Source organism: Homo sapiens, chromosome 19 (genome assembly GCF_000001405.40).
Source record: "Homo sapiens chromosome 19, GRCh38.p14 Primary Assembly".
In the NCBI taxonomy this organism is placed as follows: Eukaryota; Metazoa; Chordata; class Mammalia; order Primates; family Hominidae; genus Homo; species Homo sapiens.
The window spans coordinates 13,880,895-13,906,162 of record NC_000019.10 but is presented as its reverse complement, the minus strand read 5'-3'; the positions used below and the strand labels follow the sequence as shown (position 1 = coordinate 13,906,162).

At 52.8% G+C, this 25,268-nt stretch overlaps 1 protein-coding gene across 22 annotated transcripts, besides 4 other annotated features; it reads left to right on the top strand.

The window, feature by feature from the left end:
* BRME1 (break repair meiotic recombinase recruitment factor 1) lies at nucleotides 46–23,815 on the top strand. Of its 22 annotated transcripts, NM_001393646.1 has the most exons (10): nucleotides 46–104; nucleotides 352–448; nucleotides 1,250–1,301; nucleotides 10,617–10,791; nucleotides 12,940–13,021; nucleotides 13,273–13,377; nucleotides 15,701–16,975; nucleotides 20,108–20,202; nucleotides 22,763–22,855; nucleotides 23,211–23,815. In NM_001393646.1, the coding sequence occupies exons 3-10, from the start codon at nucleotides 1,271–1,273 to the stop codon at nucleotides 23,359–23,361; spliced, it is 2,007 nt and encodes a 668-aa protein (NP_001380575.1). In that variant the 5' UTR covers nucleotides 46–104; nucleotides 352–448; nucleotides 1,250–1,270; the 3' UTR covers nucleotides 23,362–23,815. The 22 variants fall into 22 exon arrangements, 18 of the variants coding, with proteins under 18 accessions (NP_001380575.1, NP_001380574.1, XP_047295386.1 ...); XR_007067013.1 differs by lacking the exons at nucleotides 352–448; nucleotides 23,211–23,815 and adding an exon at nucleotides 21,001–21,660 and having other exon boundaries at nucleotides 22,763–22,844; XR_007067011.1 differs by lacking the exon at nucleotides 23,211–23,815 and adding an exon at nucleotides 21,004–21,660 and having other exon boundaries at nucleotides 46–448; nucleotides 22,763–22,844.
* Nucleotides 16,084–16,585: an enhancer, noted in NCBI's record as "H3K4me1 hESC enhancer chr19:14000391-14000892 (GRCh37/hg19 assembly coordinates)". NCBI's record gives its function as "activates a minimal SCP1, AML or CMV promoter by ChIP-STARR-seq in naive H9 embryonic stem cells {active_cell/tissue: H9 hESC(naive)}" and the evidence as "EXISTENCE:reporter gene assay evidence [ECO:0000049][PMID:30033119]".
* Nucleotides 22,394–23,239: an enhancer, noted in NCBI's record as "H3K4me1 hESC enhancer chr19:13993737-13994582 (GRCh37/hg19 assembly coordinates)". NCBI's record gives its function as "activates a minimal SCP1, AML or CMV promoter by ChIP-STARR-seq in naive H9 embryonic stem cells {active_cell/tissue: H9 hESC(naive)}" and the evidence as "EXISTENCE:reporter gene assay evidence [ECO:0000049][PMID:30033119]".
* Nucleotides 24,065–24,214: an enhancer, noted in NCBI's record as "active region_14149". NCBI's record gives its function as "activates an Ori minimal core promoter by ATAC-STARR-seq in GM12878 lymphoblastoid cells {active_cell/tissue: GM12878}" and the evidence as "EXISTENCE:reporter gene assay evidence [ECO:0000049][PMID:35858748]".
* Nucleotides 24,805–24,894: an enhancer, noted in NCBI's record as "active region_14148". NCBI's record gives its function as "activates an Ori minimal core promoter by ATAC-STARR-seq in GM12878 lymphoblastoid cells {active_cell/tissue: GM12878}" and the evidence as "EXISTENCE:reporter gene assay evidence [ECO:0000049][PMID:35858748]".

The following is a 25,268-nucleotide window of genomic DNA, read 5'->3' as shown; positions in this document are numbered from 1 at the left end:
GCTGGGGCGGTGCTGACTGTCGCGGGCTGCGAGGGCGGTGTTTGCGTCGCTCATGCGCGGGGCGGGACCTCGCGGGGCGCGGGAAAGAGGCAGAGCGCGCGCAGGTGTGAGGGGCGGCGACATCTGTGGGGTTCAGAGCGTCTGTCAGTCACCGACGGGCTCCGGCTTCACGTGGGCTCTCGGCCTGTGGAGTCCTCACTTCTCGGTGGTCGGCGTAGTGTCAGTGTGGGGCTTGTCACCGGGAGCGGGGTCTACAGCGCCCACCCTCAGGCCTTTCCATCTTTCACCTCCGGACTCGAGGCCTCCAGCGTTCTGTGAGGGCCAATTTGGCCATTTATTTTTTCCAAAAAGAGTAACGCGGATAATTCAAGCGACTTATTCCCAACTGATCCAGGCAGAGCTCGTTTCTGATAAGGACAGAGGGTCCTCAACGACTTCTGTGGCCCAGGTCCGTTCTGGTTTGCCTCGCCCCCAAGGCTGGGAGAAACCGGCCTATGGCAGCTCTTTCCCCTCCAAGGACCCAGCTGTCCCCTTTAAAGTGGCACGATCTTGGCTCATTGCAACCTCTGCCTCCTGGCCTTGTACCACAGCCTCCTGAGTAGCTGGGATTACGGGTGTGTGCCACCGCACCTGACTAATTTTTTTTTTTTTTTTTGAGACGGAGTCTCGCTCTGTCGCCCAGGCTGGAGTGCAGTAGAGCGATCTCGGCTCACTGCAACCTCTGCCTCATGGGTTCAAGGAATTCTACTGTCTCAGCCTCCCAAGTAGCTGGGATTACAGGTGTGCGTCACGATGCCCAGGCTAATTTTTGTGTTTTTAATAGAGAGGGGGTTTCACCATATTGGCCAGGCTGGTCTCCAGAGGCCCCTGGAGAGTCCTCAAGTGTCCTTGGAAGGGCCCCCAGATACCCCAGTCTGGAGGGAGGGGCTTCACACAGGCTGTTTCATCCTAGGGACCAGAGTCTGGGTCCCCGGGGCTATCTATAAGGACCCCCCAGGGCCCATTTGTCTTTCAGGTCCTGGGCATAAGATCTTCAGTTTGGAGGAGGTTTGAATTCCTACCTGGCCATGGCCCAAAGTGGCTGTGACTCTGTGTCCCATCCTGTGTCCCAGTGGGAGCCATCTGACCCCTGGGGCAGCCAAATGGGCTGAGGTGGAGGTAGGGGTAACCTCTGCTCTCAGCCAAAGCCACTGGATATAAACAGAGACAGAGACTGCTTATAATGATGAGAGATTTTGCTTGTTTTCAGATTTCTCAAGGGGAAGATAAAATGACTAAGAGGAAGAAGCTGCGGACCTCAGGTACGTTCATTCAAATGGACACTTGTTGATTTCTGCTTCTGCTTGTGGGAAGAATGTGGGCTTGTTTATTGCAGATCTGGCTAACACGACTGCCTTAACCTCCTTAAAAGGAAGCAAGGATTGGCCGGGTGCGGTGGCTCACACCTGTAATCTCAGCACTTTGGGAGGCCGAGGCGGGCAGATCACAAGGTCAGGAGTTCAAGACCAGCCTGACCAACATGGTGAAACCCCGTCTCTACTAAAAATACAAAAATTAGCCAGGTGTTGTGGCACATGCCTGTAGTCCCACCTACTCGGGAGACTGAGGCAGGAGAATCGTTTGAACCTGGGAGTCCGATGTTGCAGTGAGCCAAGATGGTGCCACTGCACTCTAGCCTGGGCAACAGAGCAAGACTCTGTCTCAAAAAAAAGAAAAAGACAAAAAGGATTTAATTCATGCTGGTAAGAAAAATAGAAGGCCGGTGTGGTGGCTCACGCCTGTAATCCTAGCACTTTGGGAGGCCGAGGTGGGCGGATCGCTTGAGTCCAGGAGTTCAAGACCAGCCTGGGCAACATAGCGAGATCCTGTCTCTACAATGTAAAGTAAGGAAATTAGCTGGGCGTGGTGGCAGGCACCTGTAGTCCCAGCTACTCAGGAGGTTGAGGCAGGAAGATTGCTTGAACTGGGAGGTGGAGGTTGCAGTGAATCCAGATCGTACCACTGCACTCCATCCTGACTGATAGATTGAGGCCCTGTCTCAAAAAAAAAAAGAAAGAAAGAAAAATAGAAATAACGGAGAGGGCATACAGGAAAAGTAAAAGTGAAAGTTTTCTGGAGCTTCTGCAAGCCTCTGGTGGGGTCCCACAGCTTAGAGGAGGCCTCCCCGGGCTTCAGGGCAGCGGGACAGCCTCCCTGCGGAACCAGTCCCAGAGATGACCCCTGGAATAATGCTTGATGTACTACAAGGCCACTCGGTATGTGGCTGAGTGTTTTACTCTGGGGCCCAAAACCTGGGTTCATCCCAGTTCTGCTCAGTGTGTGGTGGTGGATGATTTCCTCTGTGCCACAGTTTCCCCTTTTGTAAATTGGGGATAATAAAAGCCACTACCCTTTCCTTTAGAGCAGTGTTTCTCAACTAGGTGAGAGGAAGGGATTTTGACCTCCAGAGACAGCTGGCAATGTTTGGAGACTTTATTTTTTTTTTTTTTGGAGACCAAGTCTGACTCTGTCGTCCAGGCTGGAGTGCAGTAGCAAGATCTTGGCTCACTGCAGCCTCCACCTCCTGGGTTCAAGCGATTCTGCAGCCTCAGCCTCCTAAGTAGCTGGGACTACAGATGTGCACCACCACGCCCGCCTAATTTTTGTATTTTTAGTAGGGATAGGGTTTCACAATGTTGGCCAGGCTGGTCTCAAACTCCTGACCTCAGGTGATCTGCCTGCCTCAGCCTCCCAAAGTGCTGGGATTACAGGTGGGAGCCACCGTGCCCGGCCTAGAGACTTTTTTTGGTTTTCATAACTGGGGAAATTATACTGACATCTAGTGGGTGGAGGCCAGGGATGCTGCTCAAATATCCTACCATGCATAGGATGCCCCCCAGCCACAGAGAATGATCCAGCCCCAAATGTCCTCCAAGGTGAAGAATCCTGCCCTTAGAGCTCACATGTGGATTAGTATCTGTAAAGCACCCAGAACTGACCTAAGGTAGTACACAAATGTACACTGCTGTTAACAATTCTTCTTCCAGACTTTTAAGAAAACTTTTATTTTGAAGTAATCTGGGACTTAAAGAAAAGTTGCAAAAATAATTCAGAGAGTTCTAGCTACCCTTCTCCAAGCTTTCCCTAATGTTGACATCTAGCATAGCCATAGGACAGTGATCAACTGTAGAACAGCATGAAAAACAGGACAGGACTCTAACCTCGGTACACTGCTTCTAGACTTTTTTTTTTTTTTTTGAGACGGAGTTTCGCTCTTGTTGCCCAGGCTGGAGTGCAGTGGCGCGATCTCGGCTTACTGCAACCTCCACCTCCCAAGTTCAGGCGATTCTCCTGCCTCAGCCTCCCAAGTAGCTGGGATTACAGGCACCCACCACCATGCTGAGCTAATTTTTGTATTTTTTTAGTAGAGTCAGGGTTTGGTCAGGCTGGTCTTGAACTCCCAACCTCAGGTGATCTGCCCGTCTTGGTGTCCCAAAGTGCTGGGGATACAGGAGTAGGCCACCGCGCCCAGCCCAGACTTTTTTGTTTTTGTTTTTGAGACAGAGTCTTGATCTTGTTGCCCAGGCTGGCGCGATCTCGGCTCACCGCAACCTCTGCCTCCTAGATTCAAGCAATTCTCCTGCCTCAGCCTCCCAAGTAACTGAGATTACAGGCATATGCCACCATGCCCAGCTAATTTTTTTGTATTTTTAGTAGAGATGGGGTTTCTCCATGTTGGTCAGGCTGGTCTCGAACTCCCAACCTCAGGTGATCCGCCCATCTCGGCCTCCCAAAGTGCTGGGATTACAGGCATGAGCCAGCGCGCCCAGCTCAGACTTTTTTTTAAGATGATGTCTCACTCTGTTGCCCAGACTGGAGTGCAGTGGCACGATCTTGACTCACTGCAGCCTCCGCCTCCTGGTTTCAAGCGATTCTCTTGCATCAGCCTCCTGAGTAGCTGGGATTACAGGTGTCTGCCACCACGCTCAGATAATTTTTGTATTTGTAGTAGAGATGGGGTTTCACCATGTTGCCCAGGCTGATCTTGAACTCCTGGCCTCACATGATCTGCCCGCCTCAGCCAAAGTGCTGGGATTACTGGAGTGAGCCACCATACCCAGCTTTTTTTTTTTTCTTTTTTTCGAGACAGAGTCTTGCTTTGTCGCCCAGGCTGGAGAGCAGTGGCACAATCATAGCTCGCTGCAGCCTCGACCTCCCCAGGCTCAGGTGATCTTCCCACCTCAGCCTCCGGAATAGCTGGGACTACAGGTGTGTGCCACCATGACTGGCTAATTTTTGTATTTTTTGGAAGAGACGAGGCCTCACTATGTTGCCCAGGCTGGTCTTGAACTTCTGGGCTCCAGCAGTCCACCTGCCTTGGCCTCCCAATGTGCTCAGAATTACAGGCATGAGCCACCATGCCTGGTCAGACTTTTTCTGTATATATACAGATACAGTGTTGAGCTTTTTTCTTTTTTTTTTTTTTGGAGACAGTCTCACTCTGTCACCCAGGCTGGAGTGCAGTGGCACGATTTTGGTTCACTGTAACCTCTGCCTCCTGGGTTCAAGTGATGCTCATGCCTCAGCCTCCTGAGTAGCTGGGATTACAGGTACCTGCCACCATGCCTGGCAAATTTTTGCATTTTTAGTAGAGACGGGGTTTCACCATGTTGGCTAGGCTGCTCTCTAACTCCTGACTTCAAGTTATCCGCCTGCCTCAGCCTCCCAAAGATTACAGGCATGAGCCACCGTGCCTGGCCCAGATAAAATGTTTTTATTGGAAAATCGAATCATCACACTTACTGATCTGCAACCTCCATTTTTCACTTTGTGGTAGATCATGACCATGTTTACTTGTCAACATACCTATACAATTTCATCATTTGAAAAGAAAAACACCCCAAAATAGCCAGGCTTGGTGGTACGCACCTGTACTCCAGGCTACTTGGGAGGCCGAGGTGAAAGGATTGCCTGAGACCAGGAGTTCATGACCAGCCTGAGCAACATAATGTTACCCAGTCTCTAAAAAAAAAAAAAAATTTTAATTAACCAGTGTGGTGGTGCCTACCTGTAGTCCTGGCTACTTGGGAGATTGAGGCAGGAGGATGGCTTGAGCTGAGGAGTTCCAGGCTGCAGTGAGCTATGATTGCGCCTGCACTCCAGCCTGGGCCACAGAACAAAACCCTGTCTCTTAGAAAAAAAGAAAGATTGTTGGGCACGATGGCTCATGCCTGTAATCTGAGCACTTTGGGAGGCCGAGGCAGGTGGATGGATCATTTGAGGTCAGGGTTCGAGACCAACCTGGTCAACATGGTGAAACCCCATCTGTACTAAAAACACAAAAATTAGCCGGGCATGGTGGCATGTGTCTGTAATCCCAGCTACTTGGGAGGCTGAGACACGAGACTCGCTTGAGCCCAGGAGAGCTGAGATTGCACCACTGCACTCCAGCCTGGGCGACAGAGTGAGACTCTGTCTAAAAAAAAAAAGGAACAAACCAAGTCAGAAAGACAAACTCCCAATATGATGTAGTAGAGTTCCATTTGCCTATCATTTTCTAAAGTAAGTTAAATTTCTTCAAAATTTTGAAATGACTTTTTAATTTAGTGGCTGATGAATTTAGGGAATGGTGTGCATGTTTTTTCCCCCAAGATATGGGACAGGAGAGGAAATGATCAGCAGATTGAACATGTTTTGTGCAGAGATGAGCAACAGGCTGCTTGGAGGCATCAGAATTTCTCTGACCTTGGAGGGGGAAGCTGGGGACAGCCAGGTCCACCCACAGCAGGTCACTTGGGGCCTCTGTTGGCGGTAGACTCCCCAGCTCAGTGGACCTCTGGGCTGGCCCTGGACAACCCTTTCTGTGTGTGCTGGAAGGGTGGAGAGAGAGGAAGAAAATTCTGGCAGGTGGTGAAAGAGGCCTTTTCCCTCCCAATGTCTTTAGTCTTTGGTGTCGAACACAAGGTTCTGCCTTATTTTTTCTTAAATTAGTCCCATGTGGACAGATCACAGGAAGGAAAGAGAAGACTCTTCAATGCCATTGATATTTTTTTGCTTTTTATTTGGTACAAATGGCCATTCAGTCAGCCAAGTGAGCAAGTGTTTGAGAATCTCAAGAAACCAAATAAACAAAGCAGCTATATTTTGTCTTTTCTGGCAGACCACAAGGTCGTGTTTCTTTTGAGACAGAGTCTTGCTCTGTCACCCAGGCTGGAGTGCAGTGGTGCAGTCTTGGCTTACTGCAACCTCCGCCGCCTGGGTTCAAGTGATTCTCCTGCCTCAGCCTCCTGATTAGCTGGGACTACAGGTGCCCACCACCACACCTGGCTAATTTTTTGTATTTGTAGTAGAGACAGGGTTTCACCATGTTGGCCAGGCTGGTCTTGAACTCCTGACCTCAAGCAATCTGCCCACCTCACCCTCTCAACGTGGTGAGATTACAGGCATGAGCCACTGCACCCGGACGGTTAGGAATGTGTTTCTATAAGCAATGTCCATCGGAGCTTTACTTGTGGTGGTACATCCTTTGAGGTGGGCACCTGATGGGGCAGGGCAGGGCGAAGGGGAGATCAAAGGGTGCATTGCACTCAGTTCCTGCCCTGGAGATCCTCCAGCTGTAGTCAGAGGACAAAGGAAAATGCTTCTCTCAGCGAGAGCTAAGCAAATACACAGCAGTGGGATAAAGTTCTAAACGGGCACTCCCGAACTGTAACTGACAGAATTACAAGCAACTTACCGTGCGCCATGGCTCACACCTGCATTCCCAGCACTTTGGGAGGCCAAGGCAGACAGATCACTTGAGATCAGGAGTTCAAAACCAGTGTGGCCAACGTGGTGAAAACCCGTCTCTACTGAAAATACAAAAAAATTAACCAGGCATGGTGGCTTGCACCTGTAGTCGCAGCCAATCAGGAGGCTGAGGCAGGAGAATTGCTTGAACCCAGGAGGCAGAGGTTACAGTGAGCTGAGATCATGCCACTGTACTCTAGCCTGGGCAACAGAGCGAGAGTCCATCTCAAAAAAAAAAAAAAAGAAGAAGAAGAAGAATTAGAAGCAATTACAGGAAGATTGCTGTGGTTTAGTGGAGGGCAAACAGCTGAATGGGGACTGATGCAGACCCTAGCAATTGGCGTCGAGGAAAGAGAGACTCATTCAGTAGGTTTACTTCACGATGTGTAAGTGTGTAATGTAGAGCTGAGGTTGGAAAGAGTCCATCTGGGGTTTGGATAGTGTTATTCTTTTTTTTTTTTTTTTTTTTTTGAGATGGAGTTTCACTCTTGTTGCCCAGGCTGGAGTGCAATGACGCGATATCGGCTCACTGCAACCTCCGCCTCCCGGGTTCAAGCGATTCTCCTGCCTCAGCCTCCTGAGTAGCTGAGATTACAGGCATGAGCCACCATGCCCGGCTAATTTTGTATTTTTAGTAGAGACAGGGTTTCTCCATGTTGGTCAGGCTGGTCTTAAACTCCCGACCTCAGGGGATCCGCCCGCCTCAGCCTCCCAAAGTGCTGGGATTACAGGCATGAACCACTGCGCCTGGTCCTGGATAGTGTTATTCTTTAGTGTTTTTTTTAGAGATAGGATCTAGCTCTGTTGCTGAGGCCAGAGTGCAGTGGCACAATCACGGCTTGCTGCAGCTTCAACCTCCAGGGCTCAAGCAATCCTCCTGCCTCAGCCTCCTGAGTAGCTGAGACTACAGGTGCATGCCACCACCCTCAGCTAATTTTTAAATGTTTTATAGAGGTGGGATCTCACTGTGTTACCCAAGTGAGATCCTGGACTCAAGTGATCCTACCCCCTCAGCCTCCTGAGTAGCTGGGACTGCAGGTGTGCACCACCACACCTGGCTGTTGGTTTGTCTTTTTGTTCTGCCTGCCTTGGCAGAAATCTACTACATAGTAGGCATTCAGTAAATGCTCAAGTATTCTTAAGTGTGCTGGTTCTGGAGTTGGACGGGGTGCCAGCCTTGGTTCCTGGGCCTCTGTGTGCCTTAACGTTTTCACCTCTCTGGGAACTTGGGGCCCTTGGGTGTCAATTCTCGCATCTTTCCTTTCCTTTTAATTTAATTTAATTATTTATTTTTTTGAGATGGAATCTCACTCCCTTGCCCAGGCTGGAGTGCAGTGGCGCCATCTTGGCTCATTGCAACCTCAGCCCCCCGGATTCAAGCGATTCTCCTGCCTCAGCCTCCCAAGTAGCTGGGATTACAGGTGCCCACCACCATGCCCAGCTAACTTTTGCATTTTTAGTAGAGATGGGGTTTTGCCATATTGCCCTTTTATTTATTTATTTTAATTTAAATGTTTAATTTAAATGTTTTTTTGAGACAGGCTCTAGTTCTGTTGCCCAGGCTGGAGTGCAGTGGCACAGTCTGGACTCATTGCAATCTCTTCCTCTGGGCTCAAGTCATCCTCCCCCTTCAGCCTCCCAAGTATGTGGGACTGCAGGCATGCACCACCATGTTTGGCTAATTTTCGTACTTTTTAGACAGGGTTTCGCCATGTTGCCCAGGCTGGTCTTGAACTGCTGAGCTTAAGCAATCCACCTGCCTCGGCCTCCCAAAGTCCTGGGATTACAGGCTGGCATCTTTCCTTGCTGGTGGCAAAGGCCAATATTTTAATCATGGACAAAGATAATATTGAATTGCTCAAGGTACTTCTGTAAGGCAGGCATAACAGCAGCACCCTGCCTTGAGCTTTTATCTTAACACACACAAGTTCTTAGGACAGCATCTGGTGTGGAACTCACTAGAGTCAACCCTTATCATTTGTTCACTGAATGCATGATTAGGTTGGGGCCAGGCTTGGGGAAGTCTTACAAGCCAGCCACTATTGAAAGTTTTGATGTGGCTGGGCACGGTGGCTCATGTCTGTAATCCCAGCACTTTGGGAGGCCGAGGCGGGCGGATCATGAGGTCAAGAGATCGAGACCATCCTGGCCAACATGGTGAAACCCTGTCTCTACTAAAAATACAAAAATTAGCTGGGTGTGGTGGTGCGTGCCTGTGGTCTCAGCTACTCAGGAGGCTGAGGCAGGAGAATCACTTGAACCCGGGAGGCAGAGGTTGCGGTGAGCAGAGATCGTGCCATTGCACTCCAGCCTGGTGACAGAGCGAGACTCTGTCTCAAAAAAAAAAAAAAAAAGTTTCGATGTAAGGGAGTTTTCTTAATTCAAAAGATAGATTCTGGCGAGGCAAAGTGGTTCATGCCTGTAATTCCAGCACTTTGGGAGGCCGAGACAAGAGGATCACTTGAGCGCCAGAGTTCACGACCAGCCTGGGCAACATATGAGACCCTGTCTCAACAAAACAAAAGCAAAAGAAAACTTAGCCAGGCATGGTGGCACACACCTTTTGTCCCAGCTACTTGAGTGGCCTGAGGTGGGAGGATGGCTTGAGCCTATGAGGTCAAGACTGCAGTGATCCACAGTTGCACCACCTCACTCTAGCCTGGGAGACAAAGCCAGACCCTGTCTTAAAAAAAGAAAAAATATATATATAGTATATATAATACATAAATACATATATGTAAATACGTATGTATAAATACATATGTATGTATAAATACATATGTATAAATATATATATTTACATATTTGGCTGAGGCTGAATCCTGAGGTGGCGTGGCCTGGCTTTAGATCACATGGAACAACCTGGCAATATAATGGGATATATAATATATATAGTATATATTTAATAAATATATATCATATATAAATATATAATATAATACAAGGATATAATGTTTATAATATATTAATATATCATAAATATATAATTTAAATAATATATTTTATAATTATAAATATGCAATATGTAAATACATTATAATTATATATTTTATATGTATGTATATATTAAATATGAATATGTATGTATTTTATATATGATATATAATATATATTAATTTTTTTTTGAGACAGAGTCTCGCTCTGTCAACCAGGCTGGAGTGCAGTAGCGCAATCTCAGCTCACTGCAACTTCCGCCTACCAGGTTCAAGCGATTCTCCTGCCTCAGCCTCCCAAGTAGCTGGGACTATAGGTGGGTGCCACCATGCCCGGCTAATTTTTGTATTTTCAGTAGAGACGGGGTTTTGCCATGTTGGCCAGGCTGGTCTTGAACTCCTGACCTTAGGTGATCCACCCGCCTCGGCCTCCCAAAGTGCTGGGATTATAGGCGTGAGCCACTGCGCTATATATACAAAGATGTCAATAAGCATCTTTAGCCTCTTAAATGCCAGAAGAAGACACATCGCAATTGCTTTCAGTGATGGGGAAGTTAGTGCAGAAATGCAAGGGGCCAGGACGTGGCCAAAGCATCACCTCTTCAGCACCCGGTGGCTGTGAGTCCCAGTTTTCCCAGGATGGCTATTTTGCAGATGTCTCAGCACATTAGAATGGTACATAATTTAGTCTTGTCTGCCCTTGGTGGTGTGCATTTATCCAGTCATGGATAATTTATTTATTGAGCACCAACAGTGTACAAGATGCTCTTACAGGCACTTGGGACCCCGCAGAGAGTGAAATGGATTCGGCCCCTTCTCGCGTGCAGCCTGGTTGTAGTGGGGGAGACCTGAGTTGTCAGCCATGAGCAGTGGCTGTATCCCCCACCCCTTCATCTTCCTCTGTCTCTAAAACAGGAGAGGGACTCTGTCCTCCAAAACCCCTAAAGAACCCAAGGCTAGGAGACTTCTATGGGGACCCCCAGAGTTCCATGTTGGGCTGTTTACATCACCCTGAGGAGCCAGAGGGCAAATTGGGACCTGTTCCCTCTACACAGCAGCACGGGGAGGAACCAGGAAAGGCCGTCTCCAGGTAGGTGGCTCTGAACATTCCGGCAGGTCTCCCCACTGACAGTCCACATAGCACAGCAGCTCAGCAGACAGCAATGCTTTGGGAAAGAGACCCACAACCTATCTAGTGCTGTGACCCACTCCCTCCCAGAGCTCAGGGCCCTCGGATCTCGCTTCTCCTAGCTTTCCTCGCTGGTAAGAAGGGTTGATGTTTTAGCCGGGCATGGTGGCTAATGCCTGTAATCCCAACACTTTGGGAGGCCGAGGGGGGAAGATCACTTGAGGTCACGAGTTTGAGACAAGACTGGCCAACACTGCAAAACCCCGTCTCTACTAAAAATACAAAAATTAGCTGGGTGTGGTGGCGCACCTGTAATCCCAGATACTCAGGAGGCTAAGGCAGGAGAATCGACTGAACCCAGGAGGCAGAGGTTGCAGTAAGCTGAGATCATGCCACTACGCTCCAGCCTGGGCAACAGCGAGACTCCATCTAAAAAAAGAAAAAAAAGTTTTAACTGTGGGCAAAGATAACATTGCATTTTTCAGGGTTACAGAACTCATATTCTGTCTGCTGGTCAAACCCATCCTTCTTCCACATTCCTCCTCTTCCTTAATCAAGAAGGGAACAAAGGAATTGTTGTTATGTGAGCTAACGACCAATAAAAAAAGAAAAGCAATCAGGGCTGAGTGCAGTGGCTCATGCCTATAATCCCAGCACACTGGGAGGCTGAGGCAAGAGGATCGCTTGAGCCCAGGAGTTCAAGAGGAGCCTGTGTAACATAACAAGGATGACCCCATATCTACAAGAAATAAAATAATTAGCCAAAACAAAACGATATACATATCCTTATTTATTTATTTATTTATTTGAGACAGGGTCTTTCTCTGTCACCCAGGCTGGAGTGCAGTGGCACAATCTCGGCTCACTGCAACCTCCACCTCCCGGGTTCAAGCGATTCTCCTGCCTCAGCCTCCTGAGTAGCTGGGATGAAAGGCGCCCGCCACCACACCCAACTAATTTTTGTATTTTTAGTAGAGACGGGGTTTCACCATGTTGGCCAGGCTGGTCTCGAACTCCTGACTTAAGGTGATCCGCCCGCCTCGGCCTCCCAAAGTGCTGGGATTACAGGCGTGAGCCACCACGCCTGGCCCTTATTTATTTAAATATAACCCTAAGTTTCACTAGTTTTTAAAGACACTATGTTTCTTGCATCCACAATTTCCTTTCCCTAGAATGTGCCGTGTCAGGGCTGGAGTGTCCGTCCAAATGAGAATATCCCTATTCCCAGTTCAGAAGGCAATTCCTGGGATTATAAATGTAACAAAGTCACCTGTTAAGGCAGTGTATTCTCCAGGTGGGACTCTGCACCCTCCTTGACAGTTAAATGTTCTCAGGTCACTGCTTCTCCATCCCCATCCCACTCTTTCAAAGCAGGTTTTCCAGGGCCTTCCATCTAGCAGACATTTTTTTTTTTTTGAGATAGGGTCTTGCTCTGTCACCCAGGCTGGAGTGCAGTGGCGTGATCATAGCTCATTGCAGCCTGAACTCCCCTGGCTCAGATGATCGTGACATTTCAGCCTCTCAAGTAGCTGGGGCCACAGGCACACATCACCACGTCCAGCTAATTTTTAAATTTTTTGTAGAAAAGGGGTCTCACTATGTTGCTCAGGCTGGTCTCAAACTCCTGGGCATCCACCCACCTCAGCTTCCCACAGTGCTGGGATTAAAGGGATGAGCCACCACGCCCAGCCTAGGAGACTCTTAGCACTGGTTTCCTGTTGGATTTTGTTTTGCGTTTGTCTCGATAGGTGAGTGACAACCTAGGAGGATTTCAGATCCCCCTCGTTTGTTTGTTTTTGACACAGAACCTTGTTCTCTCACCTAGGCTGGAATGCAGTAGCACAATCTTGGCTCACTGCAAACACCATCTCCTGAGTTCAAGCCATTCTGCCTCAGCCTCCCAAGTAGCTGGGATTACAGGCGTGCGCCACCACATCCAGCTAATTTTTGTATTTTTAGTAGAGATACGGTTTCACCATGTTCCCCAGGTTGGTCTCGAACTCCTGGCCTCGGTGATCTGCCCGCCTCAGCCGCCCAAAGTGCTGCAATTACAGGTGTGAGCCACCGCACCCGGGCAGATCTCCTTCAGTTTTATCTTTTCCTACATAGCTCCCCTGATGAGGAAACAGGATCTCCCTGCCGGCTCCTCCGTCAACCAGAAAAGGAGCCAGCTCCCCTTCCTCCTTCCCAGGTGAGCTCGTCCTGTGGCCTCGTGGATATAGAAGCACCACTGCCTCCCTTAAAGTTCCGGCTCTGTGTCTCCCTTCTTTGTCACCAATTGCTCACTCATGGTCTACAGGGGCTGGAGGGAATGTGCCCAGAGGGCAAGGGTGGAGTTCTCTCAAGGCTACAAGAAAGGAGCAGGTTTGGGGTTGCTTTTTTCCTAAGACCTCATTCCTCTCTTATCTTTATTGCTGCTTTGTTCTTGTATCCGGTTTACAGAACTCATTCGGGAGGTTTGTTCCCCAGTTTGCAAAATCCAGGAAGACAGTGACAAGAAAAGAAGAGATGAAGGATGAGGACCGTGGGAGTGGGGCCTTTAGCCTGGTAAGGCTCTAAAATCAGCCAGGCTGAGCCCAGCGCAGGTGCAGCCTCCTGGCCCAGCCTCGGCAGCCCCATTTAACCCTGGAGTTCTTTGGCAATGGTGAGGCCTGCACCTCTCCACCCACCGTTTTCAGTACATTGCGCTATGGATGTGTGTTGACTATGCAACAATTCTTTATTTTATTTTTTTTCTTTTTTTTGAGACAGAGTTTCACTCTTGTCACCCAGGCTGGAGTGCGATGGTGCCATCTTGGCACACTGCAACCTCTGCCCCACTGGGTTCAAGCAATTCTCCCGCCTCAGCCTCCCAAGTAGCTGGGATAACAGACGCCTGCCCACCGCGCCCAGCTAATTTTTGTATTTTTAGTAGAGACGGGGTTTTACCATGTTGGCCAGCCTGGTCTTGAACTCCTGACCTCAGGTGATCTGCCCGCCTCAGCCACCCAAAGTGCTGGGATTACAGGCATGAGCCACTGCGCACGGCCTTAGCACAATTTTTAAAAAAACACAAAATGGTACAGAGTGAATTTCCGGTGTTCTCTGTTTTAGCTTCACCGAGTGGTAACACCATGCATAACTATAGTCCATCACCAAAACTAGGCAATTGGCCAGGTGCAGTGGCTCATGCCTATGATCCCAACACTTTGGGAGACTTCCCTTGACCAGCCTGGGCAACATGGCAAGACTCTGTCTCTACAATAATTTTTTTTTTTTTTTGAGATGGAGTCTTGCTTATCGCCCAGGTTGGAGTGCAGTGGTGTGATCTCGGCTCACTGCAGCCTCCACCTCCTGGGTTCAAGTGATTTTCCTGCCTCAGCCTCCCCAGTAGCTGGGACTACAGGTGCACACCACCACACCTGGCTTATTTTTGTATTTTTATTAGAATAGGGGTTTCACCCTGTTGGCCAGGCTGGTCTCGAACTCCCAACTTCAAATGATCCGCCTGCCTCGGCCTCTCAAAGTGCTGGGATTACAGGCATGAGCCACTGCGTCCAGGCTACAATAATTGTTTTAAAACTTGGCCAGGTGCAGTGGCTCCCACCTGTAATCCCAGCACTTTGGGAGGCCGAGGCAGGAGGATCACTTGAGCCCAGGCATTCAAGACCAGCCTGGGCAACATGGCACAACGCCATCTCTACCAAAAAAACCACAAAATTTAGCCAGTTGTGGTGTGTACCTGTAGTCCCAGCTACTTAGGAGGCTGAGGTGGGAGGGTCGTCTGAATCTAGGAAGGTCAAAACTACAGTGAGCCGTGATCACACCACTGCACTCCAGCCTGGACGAAAGAGTGAGACCCTGTCTCAAAATTATGAAAAATAAATAATAAAAATAATAATAGCCGCTGGGCGCAGTGGCTCATGCCTTTAATCCCAGCACTTTGGGAGGCCGAGATGGGCAGATCACCTGAGGTCTGTAGTTTGAGACCAGCCTGGTCAACATGGAGAAACTCTGTCTCTACTAAGTATACAAAATTAGCCGGGCATGGTGGCGCGAGCCTGTAATCCCAGCTACTCGGGAGGCTGAGGCAGGAGAATTGCGTGAACCCGGGAGGTGGGGGTTGCAGTGAGCCAAGATCGCACCATTGCACTCCAGCCTGGGCAACAAGAGTGAAACTCTGTCTAATAATAATAATAATAATAATAATAATAATAAACAGGAAATTGACATTGGTGTGGTCTGAATGCCACCTTGATTTTCATATCCCTGATCTGATTGAGTACCTGGTGCTGGTGGAGAGAAGAGCTTGGTGGAAGGAGAGGTTTCTGTGCTTCCAGATCCCCCTCCAGTCGCCGGCCCTGGTACTGATGCCTATTTCCATGCATGATGGCCGGTGCCAATATCTGAGTCTTTGAACAGGGTGGTGACAACTATTAGATTGGTGCAAAAGTAAGTGCAGTTTTTGCCACTAATTTTTTTGTGTGTATGAGACAGAGTCTTACTCTGTCGTCCAGGCTGGAGTGCAGTCCTATCTCGGCTCACTGCAACCTCCGCCTCCCGGGTTCAAACAATTCTCCTGCCTCAGCCTCCTGAGTAGTTGGGACTACAGTCAACTGCCACCATGCCTGGCTAATTTTTGTATTTGTTGAGTAGAGATGGGGTTTCACCATTTTGGCCAGGCTGATCTTGAACTCCTGACCTCAAGTGATCCGCCCACCTCGGCCTCCCAAAGTGCTGGGATTACAGGCATGAGCCATCACGCCTGGCCAATTTTTGCCATTAAAAGTAATGACAAAACCCGCAATTACTTTTACACCAACCTAATAGAAAACTCTTCGGAGAACTTGGTTATCAAAGGCCCCGGGGCTGAGTCTTTTTCTGTCCACAGGAAACAATCGCAGAGTCCAGCGCCCAGAGTCCAGGATGCCAGCTGCTAGTGGAGACCCTGGGGGTCCCCCTCCAGGAGGCCACGGAGCTGGGGGACCCAACGCAGGCAGACAGTGCCCGCCCTGAGCAGAGCAGCCAGAGCCCTGTGCAGGCGGTGCCCGGCAGTGGGGATTCTCAGCCTGATGACCCTCCAGACAGGGGGACGGGGTTGTCCGCCTCACAGAGGGCCAGCCAAGACCACCTGTCAGAACAAGGGGCCGATGACAGCAAGCCTGAGACAGACAGGGTTCCAGGTGACGGTGGCCAAAAGGAACACCTACCAAGCATTGATTCTGAAGGGGAGAAGCCAGACAGAGGAGCCCCCCAGGAGGGAGGGGCCCAAAGGACAGCAGGGGCTGGCCTGCCTGGAGGGCCCCAGGAGGAGGGAGACGGTGTCCCCTGTACCCCAGCATCAGCTCCTACCTCAGGCCCTGCTCCAGGACTGGGCCCTGCCTCTTGGTGCCTGGAACCCGGGTCTGTGGCCCAGGGCTCCCCTGACCCCCAGCAGACCCCCAGCAGGATGGGTAGGGAAGGGGAAGGGACTCATAGCAGCCTGGGATGCTCCTCCCTCGGGATGGTTGTCATCGCAGACCTGAGCACAGACCCCACTGAGCTGGAAGAGAGGGCTCTGGAGGTGGCTGGGCCCGATGGGCAGGCCAGTGCCATATCACCTGCCTCTCCCAGGAGGAAGGCCGCTGATGGAGGCCACAGGAGGGCCTTGCCAGGCTGCACCTCGCTCACTGGGGAAACCACAGGAGAAAGTGGGGAGGCAGGGCAGGATGGCAAGCCCCCCGGCGATGTCCTAGTGGGCCCTACAGCCTCCCTGGCTCTGGCACCTGGGAGCGGAGAGTCCATGATGGGTGCTGGAGATTCCGGTCATGCATCCCCGGACACAGGTCCATGTGTCAATCAGAAGCAGGAGCCAGGTCCTGCTCAAGAGGAAGCCGAGTTAGGTGGCCAGAACCTCGAACGAGACCTCGAGGGGTTCCGTGTGTCCCCGCAAGCCTCTGTTGTGCTGGAACACAGAGAAATAGCAGACGACCCTCTCCAGGAGCCCGGGGCTCAGCAGGGCATTCCAGACACCACCTCAGAGCTGGCAGGGCAGCGAGACCACCTGCCTCATTCTGCAGACCAGGGCACCTGGGCAGACTCTTTAGCTGTGGAACTCGACTTCCTGCTGGACAGCCAGATACAGGATGCCCTGGACGCCTCTGACTTCGAAGCCCCACCTGAGCAGGTGAGAGCTGCCCTGAGTGACAGACATACCTGCCCAGGGCAGGCACCCAACCTCCACAAGCCCCCTCCTCACTCGGTGCAGTGGCAGAGGGGGAGCTGGGGCTCAGGGCTTACCATTTACACAGCCAACGACTATAGGAGTCCGAGTTGCAGCTCTACTGGGTGTGGAGTCGGTGGTTTTCCAGAAAGTGTAGACCTGCCTTTTGGTGGTTGTCGACATATCTAGGGATGGTGACACACAGCTGCTTTCTCAGCCGGGCCCCCCACATTGAACTGGAGTCCCCAGGAGTGCCAGCCCCTGGCAGCTTCTGCTTCAGTGCCTGACCCTGGCCGTGGGGTCCCAGGGGATGTATTGAGGCGGGTAGACACAGATGGAGAGAAGCTGGGCCTGGGGATGGCTTTATACCTGGGCCTGGGGAGGGGGCTTCACTCCCAAGCTGCAAAAGAGCCTTTGCCCATCTCCTTAGGGTCCTCTGGGGGTCCTGATATGATTCTTTTCCAAACATACATAAGTCATTTTGTTTTTCTGCCAGAACGTGTAAGGGCTTTGCCTCCTTCAGGGATCTGCCCGCCCCACCGGCTGCCCGGATGTGGCCTCCTCTGGCTCCAGAGCCGGTGCCAGCCGTTGGCGTTCATTCTCCTGTCTGGGCAGATGGCAGCCTTGCTTCAGCCCTGCCCCCCAGGGAAAGAGCGACCTCCCTAGCCGTTGGCACACCTGAGCCTGGGCTGAGGGCATCACAGTCACGCCCAGGGAGGTAGGCAGTTCTCTGTCCACACACTGGGTGTGGCAGTGAAGACTCTGGAGGAGTTCGTGCGCCTGCTAGAGGTGAGGCAGGTGGGAGGGGAGGAGGCCAGGCTGGCACCCAGGTCATGCCCCAGCCGCCGCGTCCTGGAACGCAGAGTCCAATTTGCTTTTCAAATGTCAGCCTCTGTTTCTTTGGCTGTCCCTGTGTTGAGATGTTAAAAAAAAAAAAAAAAATTCATGGCCAGGCACAGTGGCTCCCACCTGTAATCTCAGGACTTTGGGAGACCGAGGCAGGAGAGCAGGACCAGCCTGGCCAACATGGTGAAGCCCCATCTCTACCAAAATACAAAAATTAGCTGGGCATGGTGGCGTGTGCCTCTAATCCCAGCTACTCCGGAGGCTGAGGCAGAAGAATCACTTGAACCTGGGAGACTGAGGTTGCAGTGAGCCAAGATCGCGCCACTGCACTCCAGCCTGGGCAAGAGAGCAAGACTCTCTCAAGAAAAGAAAAAATTAGCCAGGCATGGGGATGCATGGCTGCAGTCCCAGCTACTTGGGAGGCTGAGGCAGGAGAATCACTTGAGCCCAGGAGTTTGAGGTTGCAGTGAGCCGAGATTACACCACTGCACTCCAGCCTGGGTGCTGAACTCCCTGTCTCAAAAAAAAAAAAAAAGTGAGTCACAGTGTGGTTCAGTGGTAGAGGCTGAACACGAGCATGTGGGAAAGGCAGGAGTTCTGGTGCTGGGCACAGCTGAAATTTTATGAGAGCTTCATGCCTTGCAAAATGCAAATCCCTCGCTTGAGAGAAGAGCCGCCTCCATTGCCTCCAGTCTGTGGTCTCGTGAGTGGTGGCTTGGAGAGAAGGCTGGGAAATGGTTAAGGTGTTTGGGGCCAGGTGTGCCTAGGTGGCATCCAGCAGGTGAAGCCCCTAGCCCTCCTAAACGGGCTGCCAAACTGCAAGCTTGGAAAAAGACCCTGAAATCCAGACTTGGGGGGATCCAGACAGACAGCCAGGCTGGTCAAACCCGACCAGCATTAGCAGCCTTTCCCCAGCCAGGGGAGGAGGCACCGCCCTGACAGCACTGCCAGGGCCTGGGCGTGTTTGGCTTTGACACGAGGCGTTCCCCAGCAAGTTGAGGCGACCCAGGCAAGGAACACATTCCCGTGGGAAGGTTCCGGGTGGCTCCCGGCAGGAAGGCCGAGGCCCGTGTCTCCCAACATGGGCAGGGGCACGGGGAACAGCAAAGATGGATCGAGCGGGCCGTCTCAGCACCTCCTCCTGACCTCACTGTGGCCACACACTGTGCTAGAGGAGGGGACTCAGAGGTGACACAGCAGAGACAGAGCTTTCAAACCTCAAACCAAGGTCTCGTCATGGGAGGGTTTGGTGTTACTTTCTCATAGATCCTTTGCACTCACTCTTGGACTGATGGAGCTTCTGCAATCTGCATATGGAGTCATTTAATTTAAATTTTAGAGACAGGGCCTTGCTCTGTCGCCCAGGCTGGAGTGCAGTGGCACAATCACAGCTCACTGCAGCCTCAACCTCCCGGGCTCAAGCAGTTGATCCTCCTGCCTCAGCCTCCCAAGTAGCTAGGACCACAGGTGCGTGCCACCATGCCCAGCTAATTTTTTTTTTTTTTTTTTGTACAGACAGGGTCTCGCCGTGTTGCCCAGGCTGGTCTGGAACTCTTGGCCTCAAACAATCCTCCCACCTCAGCCTTCCAAAGTGCTGGGATTACAGGTGTCCCCAGCCTGGCTCATTGCCTCTTTTCTGAGGGACATCATAGGTCACCACTGTAACGGAGCTTAACATTTTCCATGGAAATTAAACCACCATTGACGCTTAGAAGCTTAAGCGCCGTGGAGTTACCAGGCTTTCCCCTGTATTCACTGGGAGTTTTCCCCTCGTGTTATATTTGCAAACTCCTTTCCTAACAGGATGTCTGTGGCACATTCAGCCAAGGTAGACGACTCCACTTCACCGCAGTTGCCCCCGCTTTGTGTTTTCTCTGTACCCGTAAAGACAGTGAGGGGCATGCAGGAGACTGCAGTGGTGTCAGGGCCAGAGATCATGGCACAGTGGTGCCCCCACTGCCCAGATCAGCCTGTGGGAGGCCCGGGCCTAGGAGCGGACACCAGGGTTGGCTGTGGCCTTTCTCTTTCCAAGGGGAAAGGACGGGCGCAGCCCAGGCTGGTAGCCTCGGGTCTACCCATCGTGGATTTCCTCCCCGTTACCGCTCTTCCTCTGCAGGAGTCCCAGCCAGCCCCGATGTGACCTGCTGTGGCCGCGGTGAAGCCAAAAGCATCAGCGTGACTTCTGGTTCCCCTGTGCAGAGCTTGCCCGACCCAGGCCTCGACCACTCACACCTTGTGCTCTCTTTCCAGCTCTTTCCTTCGGGGAACAAGCCGGGCCCTTGCTGGCCGGGCCCCAGCTCACATGCCAATGGAGACCCTGTTGCAGTGGCCAAGGCCCAGCCGAGGTAGGTGTGGCGTGGGTGAGAAGTGGCTCCAGGACCCTCACAAATTTTACCAAGGAGGGTGACAGATGGAGGAGACAGACCCCAGTTCTCCCTCCCTGGGCCTCGACTTCCTCAGTCCAGCAGGGGAGCTGAGCCCTGTCTTTCAAACTGTATACATTCCCCTGCTCCCCGAAAGCAGAGAATGGGCGACAGTGACCAGTGATCGACACCCAACCCAGCATCTCCCCACCCAGAAGCTCCCCAGGAGCCCTGGGACAGTGCCTCCGGCTCTGTGGGCTCTTTCTCTCTGGGAAGAGGGGCCAAAGCTTCCTCCTGAGTCCCTGGGAAGGGGAGGGGACCCAGACAGGGCTCAGAACTGTTGGCTGAGACCATCTTGGAGCTGTTCCTAGCTCTGGCACCAGGCGGGCACCCGAGTGAGTCTAACCTGCCCTCACCTCCTCCCCTCCCCACTTGGCTCTTGCCCTAGGCGAACCACCTCCTCCCTCCCACAGGCCACCAGTGAGCCGTCCTCCAGCCTGCTGTGTGTGAGGAGGGCACCCTCTCCCCCGCACCATGCCCGGGGTCTCCGCAGCCTGTCCCCTCCTCCCGTGCCCTCCCACAGCCCTCCTCGAAGCCAGCGCTGGGTGGCTGCCCTCTCTGTTACCTGGCACTTGAACCTGCCTCTCTGCAGAGGCGGCAGCTTATCAATTATTTATGGCCAAGTTTCTGTTTCTGTCTGGCAGGGGTGGAGGAGGGTTTGGGACTCAGCCCTTGGCTGTGTGTGGCCCCCACACCCTCCTCCTCCTTCTCCTCCCCTAGCAGAGGGCGGCTCTGTCCCTGCCTCCTGCCGTCACTCCCTGTGACTTGTACCTGCTGTGCCACTGGCCACCTCCCTTAGCCACACACACAACCTGCACGTGGACCAGAGGCAGTTCATCAGAGCGGCCCGCTGTGGTTTGAGTGAAGAGCCGGGAGGGTTCACATCTGAATCTCCGACAGCGTCCCAGGGCCAATGCAGCTCCCCTCCCCACCGTCCTGGATGTCTGGAAGCTCCCAGAGGGCCCCGGGTCTGGTTTGGTGGCTTGAGGCTGAATGACACACACAAGAGGCTAAGACCCAGGGGCTGCCAGACACCTCAGGGTGACCAAGGCAGGAGCAGCAGGACAGCAGTTTCCATAGTGACAGCCCCGGAGGTGCTGCGAAGCCTGGGGCATGGGCGGGTTTAGGGCGGGTGGCCCCCACTTACCCGCCTGGCCACCTGTACTGCCTGTGTCTGAGAGTGGCACCTGTTCTGTGGGGTGGGGGAGGTGTTCTGTGGCTCCTTGGCTCTTCCGTGATTTTTTTTTTTTTTTTGAGACACAGTCTTACTCCCATCACCCAGGCTGGAGTGCAGTGGTGCAACCTCAGCTCACTGCAGCCTCGATCTCCCAGGCTCGCATGATTCTCCCACTTCAGCCCCCTAAGTAGCTGGGATTACAGGTACCCGCCACCACACCCGGCTAATTTTGTATATTTTTTTTTAGAGATGGGATTTTGCCGTGTTGCCCAGGCTGGTCTCAAACTCCTGGATTCAAGTAATCCACCTGCCTCAGCCTCACAAAGTGGTGGGATTACAGGCATGAGCCATCGTGCCTGGCGGGATATTTTTTAGATAGAGTCTTGCTCTGTTGCCCAGGCTGGTGTACAGGATCATAGCTTACTGTAGCCTCCATCTCCCAGGCTCAACTGATCCTCCCACTTCATCCTCCTGAGTAGCTGGGACTACAGGCGCGCACCACTATGCCTGGCTAATTTTGTATTATTTGTAGAGATGGGGGTCTCACTACATTGCCGAGGCTGGTCTTGAATTCCTGGGTTCAAGCCATCCTCCCACCTTGACCTCCCAAACCTTCCAAGGATATGAATGCCATCTGGGCTGGCCTTTCTAGCACTGCCCTGGGTGCTGGGGAGGCAGTGTGGGACAAAACACAGAGTTGAATGCTACTGGGGGATTCGGGGTGTGGGGACATGAGAGACAGCAGATTAGATAGTCAGATGGCAGAGTGTTGGGGAAAAAAAGGCAGCGGAGAAGGGGTTAAAATGTAAGGAGGAATCAGGGAAGCCACCACCAGGAGGAGACATTTGGGAAAGAACATTCCAGAATCCTGAGAGGTGCTCAAGGAATGGCCAGGAGTCTAGTGTGGCTAGAGCCGAGGGGAGGGGAGAAGCGGGGGATGAGGGGAGGGCACGGGGCAGGCAGGTGGTGCACAGCTGCGGGAGGAGAGGGCTTGCCTCTGAGCTAGGTTTCCAAGTTCACAGCCCCCAGTGCCTGTGGGGGACAAGCCACAGGGGCAGGAGATAGGGAGGCGGTGGCAGCAGCGTCCTGAGAGGGCAGGGCAGGTAGGGGAGAAGCGGTTGGGTTCTGGGCCTGCTGGGCAGTGGAGCCAGCTGGGTTGGCCATCAGGGTTCTGTCGTGAACAGAGGAGGACAGGCTGGACACCTGGAAAAGATGGCGCGAGGCCCTGCGGAAGCCCCTCCCACTGGAGAGCTCTGGTAGTCCAGTGAGGTCGGGCCACTCTCAATTTCCTTCCCTGCTGGCCAGGACCTTCGTGGGGATCCAGGCCTCTGAGGCCTCCAGGATGGAGGATGCCACCAACGTCGTGCGTGGCCTCATCGTTGAGCTCTCCAACCTGAAGTACGGGGTGGGCTTGGACTCACGGCACAGGGTCTGCGGGAGGCCAGTGGGGACTCAGAGGAGCAGGGAGGGACTGAAGTGTGAAGCCCCTAGGTGGGCAGCGAGGGTCAGGCACCTCACTGCTGCTGGGTCCTCACCGTGGCCCCCCTCCCCCGTCCTTTGCAGAACACAGGCTCTGAAGAAAGGCTGCAACAGGCCCAGCCTGTGCTACAACAGGCCCTTTCTGGTTATGTGCACGTGTGTGAGCCGTGTGTGTGCACCTGAGTCATTGGTGACCATGTGGCTGTGAGGCGCGGCCCCCTCTGTCACCTGGTGACCACTGAGCCCCACACGCATGCCTGTGTTTCCCCCACAGCCGGCTGATCATGGGCACCCACCGGGACCTGGAAGCTTTCAAGCGCCTTAACTACCGGAAGACAAAGCTGGGAGGCAAAGCCCCCCTGCCTTACCCTTCCAAGGGGCCTGGGAATATCCCTCGAGGGGACCCACCCTGGAGGGAGTTGTAGGCCACTTTGAGGTCTGTGTTTCCTTTGCCACCCAGCCCCCATGTCCGCAGACCTCCTCCAAGATGCTCCAGGGGGTCCTAGTGGACCCTACAAACCTCCCTTCAGTTGCCCGGAAGTTGGTCTTCCATGGACAACACAAAGGAGGCCGTGAGGTCCTGGCCTCACCTGGCCAGGGTCAAGGTCATTTGCCACCCTTGGCTTCAGGGAGGGAAACTGTGTCTCCCACAGCCCCAGTGACTTCAAGCGGGCCTGGGCTCCAGGAAGCTGGCCACCTCTGAGCAGGGCCCATCCTGTCCGGATTTGCAAATTTTAGGGTCCTGAGCCAAGTATGGATGGTTCAGAATTTGTTTCTTTCCTGGAGGAGAAGAGAGCTCCCTTTGTTTTCTTTCTCCCCATTTCCATTTTATTTCTTCTGGGAAGACCCATAATAAATGATTCTGTAGAGGCCCCGTGACCTGCTGTTTGGGGCTGAGGCTTCAGTTCCTTCACCTTCCGCCCACAAACCTCTCTACCCACTTCCTCCTCCTCGCCCTCTACGAGTTTTATGCCTCAGCTTCCCTGGGAAAGCAAGGGGGGGGCGAATCTCCAGGGGTGGGTGACTGTGTGCCCACATCTGTGTGCAGGCTCTTGAGCATACACGCGGGTCGAAGCCTAAGAGACGCCCTGGGCGATCATCCAGCTGCAGGGTGAGTCCTGCGCTCCGGTGGCTTGGCCCATCCTCCAGGACAAGCTGCCTGTGGGCCCCAGACAGGAAGGAGGCCATCCCAGGAGGTTATGGATGCAAACATGGCTGAAGTCGTGGCATTTCTCATCCCACGCAAGCCTCTCGAGCCAGATGACAGTCCTGTTAGCAACCACAGGGGCTGCTGTCATCCCCAGTTTACAGAAAACAATGCCTCTGTGAAATCTGTCACTGAAAGGCTGACTGGACCTTCGACATCATGAAGCACTCTGTGACTCCTGCACCCCAGCTCCCATGGCTCAGGCGGGGTCCTCCTCCCACCCTGCAGCCTTACACCCTGGAGACCTGATGCAGGAGGGGAGGAAAGAGCAGGGTGGGTTCACACCCAGGTGAGCCCCCTGTCCACCAGGACATGCCCTGGTGTAAGCCCAGTTCCCCGGGTCTCCAGCCCCAGCGGCTCTGCCCTAGGAAACTGTAACTCCATTCCCAGACCCTGGGAGCCGCTGGGATCCTTCTGTTTTCTTTCTCCTCCTCCCCACTTCCCCCTCCACGACCCAGCTGTCTGCAAGAGCCCACCCCCATCCCCAGGGCCTCCGGTTCCAATTTAAGTCTTTTAAGTCGGAAAGCCAAGGGCAGAGGGGACAGCAAAGAGCTCGATTCCTGCTCCCCGCTGCCAGACCACAGGCCTCAGGGCTGGTTTGTGGGACGGGGGCGGGGTAGGAATGTGGACTGCACAGTGGGCGCACTGGCTTCCTGAGCACTGCCACCTGTTGCCCCAACAGGACAAGATCTGGAGGTGGAGGAGGCAGGCAGGGGTGTGGGGATTCCCCCACATGCATTTCCCCCCCGCCCTGCCAGAACAGCCCCATCCTTCTGCTCCTGCCCAAGCCCACCCAGGACATGGTCCCATTCCCTGCCCCCTAAATGTCCCTCCCTTGCTCTAAACTGCCTGGCTTGTCACTGGGGCATCCATGGTGACATAAACATTCACCTTCCTTAGTGATGAGGATGTCGGGGGGGGGGGCTCTGTCTAGTTGTGTGTCAATTTCTTCCTCAAATGAAGCCCCCACCTCCAGTACGGAGCTGGGGGTGGGATGGGAGGAGTCCACCCATCTTGCATGTCAGTGCAGGGGGTGGCTGAAAGACCAAATGTCCACAGAAAGGGTCTCATGATGTCGATCTGGCTTTGAGGTGCCATGAACCCCCCCAGCTACCCCAAGGCACC